A 6,000-nucleotide genomic window follows, 5' to 3' on the forward strand; every position below is an offset into this window, starting at 1 on the left:
CGAGACAGGTTAGTTTGTTACTAAATGGATATTTCCTTCCAGTTCTTAATATATTTGCTCTTTCACTGAAGTGGCACTGAGACCCCCAAAATGAGAAGTTAGTCATAATCATCATTTATGGCTTTTAAAAGATTTAACTGCTCATGGAAAGTCAAACACTTGAATTATGAATGGCTTCCTCATTAAAAAAAATGGCCTCTATTTGGGTGGTGAGCATTCCCACTGGACTTAGGATATATAGTCTTTAAATTGCTGTTTTCTGTTTTGCCATAAACAAGACAGCTGCTGTCAGTGCACGGAATTCCGAGATTAACAAATGTCATGTGGGCTTGGCACTCCCTAAAGAATGTGTGTTTTCTAGAGAAATAGTTGCAGAAGACTTTTGGGTTCCTGGGCAAGCCAACAAGAGCCTATATTTATAGGAGAACAGAAAAAAGTAAAGGGAAGAGAATAAAGAATAAAAGCAGACCTCAAAAGCCAGTGTTCTTGGTGGCATCATAGGGCTGCACCTAAATAGTAGCTGGGCACAGGGAAAATGATAAGATGTGGTTGACTCAAAATTTGTATTCAGATGAAAATTAAGCTTAAGTTAGGGCCACTTTAAATGTTAAAAAAAAAAAATCACCAAAGAGCCATATTTAGCCTGAGGGTAAGTGTATGTGTTTCCCTTTGTAATTACAGTTGTTTTCTTTGCACGTTTTTCAGCACTTTTGGGGCATAGTAACTAAAATTCCATAAAATGTTGCTGAAATATCTGTACTATAAATGTGCAAGCTCCACATGCAATTGTGGTGACTAATTCAGGTGAACATGGATATTCTTCTGTCTACCCTGAAATGAATCCTACCACTAGGAAATAATTCCTTTGATTTAAATCATTGTCTCATGCACCGGTCAGCAATTTTCAGTTTAATGATAGAAACCCAACTCAAATTAGGTTAAAGGTGAAGGTAATTTAATGGATCAGTTAATGTAAAGTCCAAGGACCGAGTTGGTAGGATTACTATGTGTTTTAGTTTGCCTGGGCAAGTCCCAATTTGTGCCTGTTTTTCTGAGTTAAGCATTACTAGCAGCCCCTTTTACCTTCAAGTGTCATGGTTTGAGTTATGAAATATATGATAATGCTAACTTTAGGTCTATTTAGAACAAGTGATATGGGTGGGGGCAGGGAAGTGCTGAGTAGAGAAGGGCAGGGTCCCTGGTGAGGGCTCCACCCTGGGGTCTGCTCCCATGGACCTAAGTGAGAACAGGCACTCCTGTTTTCATGCCCAAATGTTGCATTTTCCAAGGCCACTCTGGCCCACCACGACCCCCATCCTGTGTCCGTATAAACCCGAGACCTTAGCGACACACACATAAGGGGCTGAACATCGAGAAGAGCAGGGGAAAAGAGCGGTGGAGAATGGTGGGGTGGTGTGGCAGAGAAGGAGGGAAGAGGCTTCTGAATGTTGGCCAAGGACAGCCAGACTCCAGGGGAAGATCACCTTCCCACTCCATTCCCCTTTTCCAGCTCCCCATCCACCTCACCGAGAGCCACCTCCACCACTCAGTAAAACCTTGCACTCATCCTTCAAGCCCACGTGTGATTTGATTTTGCCGGTACACTGGGTAAGAACTCAGGATACAGAAAGCTATCACACTGGCCCTCTGCCCTGGCGATAAGGCAGAGGGCTTATTGAACTGATTAACACAAGCTGTCTGCAGATGGCAAAGCTGAAAGCGCACACTGTAACACACAACCACCTGGGCTCTGGGAGTGGCAGACACCCACCCATAGACGGTGCTGTGGGGTTGGGGCCCAAAGGCTTTCCCCACGACCTCTTCACCTGCCTGTCTGCATGTTCCGCCTAGGAGGCAGGGAGCCCAGCGAGCCACACCCCTGTCACATGCCCTGTGACGGGGATCAGGGAACTCTATCCTTTCACAGGGAGTGCTAAGAATGTGTCAGATATTCTTTTTCTCTCTGTTTCCTGGGTCTGTGTGCTTCTGTGTTTGATGTCATTCTAAAATTGGGTTTAGGTGGCTGGAAATTGGCTATTGGCATCCCTAATCTTATAGCCTAATGATCTAACAGGAAGAGACCTTTTTTCTCTTAGTATCCACAGTAAAATCTCATGGAATGACTCTAATTCTAGTTATCATTCCAGCAGGAAAACAGAAAGCACATTAAGTATTTAAAATAAAATTTTAAAGCAGACAGTTGGTTTTGTGGTGTTTAACAAGCTCAGAGACAAATTGGAGAATGAGGCAGGAAATGTAGAGATTAGCAAAATAAGAAAGCAGAAACCTCTTTTAAGCCAGAGAGATAAAGTAAGAAGAATTTCCATAGCCAGGCCTGCGGCTGAAACCAGGGCGGGCCAATGGTGGGAGCTGCAGCCAAAAAGAGGCAGCCTGCTCTACCCAGAAAGAAGAACCGAAGAAGAATCCTGGCTTTCCCTTTCCTCCTGTCCTGCAGCCTCCCATCAACATCTTCCATTGGCTGTAGCCTGCTGAGCCCGGGCCAAGTCCCCCTGTATTACACAATACAACAGGTGCAAGGAGAGGAGAGAACTGAAGGCAAACAGGCCCAGGACTGGCATATCTTGCTTGGGTAGTGTACCCACAGGCATTGTGTTCCGGGAATATTGCTCCAGCTTGGGTCACATACCCACTATGAAGTGGACAGATGGAAGATGACTTGGTTGATAGGATAGCATGGACTGGAGAAAGGACAATTATATCAGGGAAGGGATGTTGGCATCAAAACATTAAAGAACTTCTACTACACTCCCTGACAAAGTACAAGTACTCCCTGGGAAAGAACTACTTTAAAACTCGTCAGTCATCTCCCTTGTCTGAGCAGGGTTTGAATAGGGTCGGTAGGGAGATCAAGAAATTAGGGAGACCAAGAAATTATTTGGTGCCTTGGAAGTTGAGGAGCAAAAAGAGAAATTAGAAGAGCAGAAGGGTGACTTACTTTAAAAACAAGAGATTGCAGGAAAGGGAGACTCAAGGCACTGCAGAACTCATTTTTGTGATATTGTATATGGGCAGCTGTGCCTTTCTGTGTTTTCTGGTTTATTTTGTGTGATAACAGTGCCCAATAGCCTTTATTTTTTATTGTGGTGGCATGTGCAGTTTCTTTGGGGAGCAAACCGTCCTGACCTTTGGATTTCCTTTTCTGAGTCTTAATTGACAATTCAGAGTTCACTGTTAAATTGTCAGAGTTTGGATTGCTTTTTCTCTTATCTTTCCTATTTTAAAGTTTATCTTGCCTCTCTTTTTTTTTTCTTCCTGTCACCAACAAAGGGAGATCGTTCTCAAGCTCATTGCTATCAGCTTATCATTGCCTCATTCAGAAGAGCTTGGCATTTTTTGTAAGTGTTTGGGAAATCTGAGACAGAAGTGTCAACTGGATTTTACCAGTCTGTCAAACACCGGAGCTCTCTGGCTCTGTGGAAACCCCTTAATGTAACCTTTTAGTTCCTATGGCTCCTCAGATGAGGTCCAAGACTGTTCCACACTGGGGGTTGCGGGGAGGGGGGTTACTGAAAGAGGAAACTGCTGTAACAATTTCAGCTTTAAAAAATATTCACATACAACTCAATAGCAAAAAAAACCCAAAATCAAAACCATACAAAACAAAAAACCTGATTAAAAAATGAGCAAAGGACCTGAGTAGACATTTTCCCAAAAAACACATGCAAGTTGCCAACAGTTATATGAAATGATGTTCAACATCACTAACCATCAGGGAAATGCAAATGAAAGCCACAATGAGATATCACTTCATACTTGTTAGAATGGCTATGATCAATAATGTTAAAAGATAACAAGCGTTAGCTAGGATGTGGAGAAAAGGGAATCCTTTTACATTGTTGGTGGGAATTGAAATTGGTATACCCACTATAGAAAACAGTATGAATGCTCCTCAAAAAATTACAAAGAGAACAACCATATGACCCACAATCCCTTTGATGGGTATATATCCAAAGGAAATGAAGTCAGTACTTCAGGGAGATATTTCTGCTCCCACGTTTATTGTGGCATTATTCATGATAGCTAAGATATACAAACAACATAAGTGTCCATTGAAGGATGAATGGATAAAAAAATTATGATACAGGCACACACACACACACACACACACACACACACACACACACACACCATGGAGTACTATTCAGCCTTAAAAAAGGAGGTAATGCTATTTGTAATAACATGATTAACCTGAAGGATATTATGGTAAGTGAAATAACCCAGACACAGAAAGAAACGTACTGCATGATCTTACTTATATGTAGAATCTAAAAAGAAGTCAAGCTCACAGTAACAGAGAGTAGAATGGACTGGGACTGGGAAGTTGGGGGAAAGGGGAGATGTTGGTCAAATGGTACAACATTCAGTTATAGGATAAATAAGTTCTGGAGATATAATGTACAGCATGGTGACTATAGTTGATAACGGTGTATTACACATTTGAAATTTGCTGGGAGCAGAAAAAGCAATATTCACAAAGCGTATCTTTTACAAAAGCAAAATCCATAATTCCCTAACTTTCACTATTGTCTGTTTTTCCATAATCTCTATGCTGTTTGTCTGAAAACATAAGAATTTTACATAACTAATGACAATACATGATTTGATTTTCACTTATTACCTAGTTATGCAGTCTTCTTAATGATTACATAATATGATATAATTTACTAAGTTGTTTCCCTAGTATTGTCTATTTAGATCATTTTAATATTTAACATGTAGTGACACTGTGATGAATAAACTAGTACATGTATTTTTTCCTTTCTTTTTCATTATTTCCTTAAAATAAATTCTCTTGACTCAGATAAATGTGCCAAATTCTCTTGACCAGATAAATGTAAGACCCTAGTGTATATTGGTATATTGTTTAGAAAACATTGCAAGAATGTATAATGTCATCAACATTTGGAGGACCATAAACTTTTTTTAATACAGTTGTTTGTTGCAGTATTTTCTTATTTATAATTTTGGCCCATTTTCAATTGAGGTATTGTAATTTTTTCTCAGAAATTTGTGTTTCTTATCTATTATAGATCATAGCCTTTTAACTATTACACTTGGTGAAAATATTTCTTCCAGTTTATTGTTTTCTTCTCTTTTTAGAATAATGAAATGATTACTCTGGATTTGATTGGAAATGTCCAAAAGATTAATAGAGCGTTTAGGATTTTCTGAGTTTATATGCCCTTACCCAGGCAGAATAATTTTTCATGTTAGATTAAGAAATATGTTAAGAACTATGCAGAAACTTCTAAAATGTAGAACAGTGGCATAAATATGCTACGTGAGATCAAATGACTTATGTATGACACGTGACATCTCTAACCCTTCTTTACATCAGATAGCAGTTGAGTAGGGTTCCATGACAAAGTTATTTTTTCCTTTCAAATGTTTTCTGTCTCTCTGTGTCCACCCGCCTTTTCTTAAAAAGAAAACACTAAATCTTGGAGAAGTTTTATTAGCAATTATTAATTAGAAAAAATTTTAAAAACCACAAGGAGGTTCAAAGTAACGTTACATGTGTGTCATCTACATTACTTCATTTACTTATGTACCTGTTATAATGCGTACTTGAAAAAAAGATATAAAAGCTGCTGAAAAACTGATTAAGAAGTCAGGAGTAAGGGAAAATAAGAATAGAAACAAAAAGTATGAAGCCAGGGATGAGAGTGAGACCCAAGAATCATAATCTTGTAATTTTGCTAGGAATCAGCCACAAATTAGACTGTAAGCTTTTTAACACTCAACGTAAATATAGAAATATTACACAAATCCATCTCTTAACAATTAAACCAGAATTTCTTGGCGAAAATACAATTATTTTGACTGTACATGAAATTGGCATTAAGTTTCTTTGAAAATGTCCATTTGAATATATTACCAAATCAGAGGGCAAACTATGTTGAACGGAGACCAAGATGAGATTGTTATATCTCATTTGTAAATTCAGTATATTTGCATACATGCCTGCAAGTCTGCTAA

The sequence above is a fragment of the Homo sapiens genome, chromosome 3, assembly GCF_000001405.40.
Source record: "Homo sapiens chromosome 3, GRCh38.p14 Primary Assembly".
Lineage (NCBI taxonomy): Eukaryota > Metazoa > Chordata > Mammalia > Primates > Hominidae > Homo > Homo sapiens.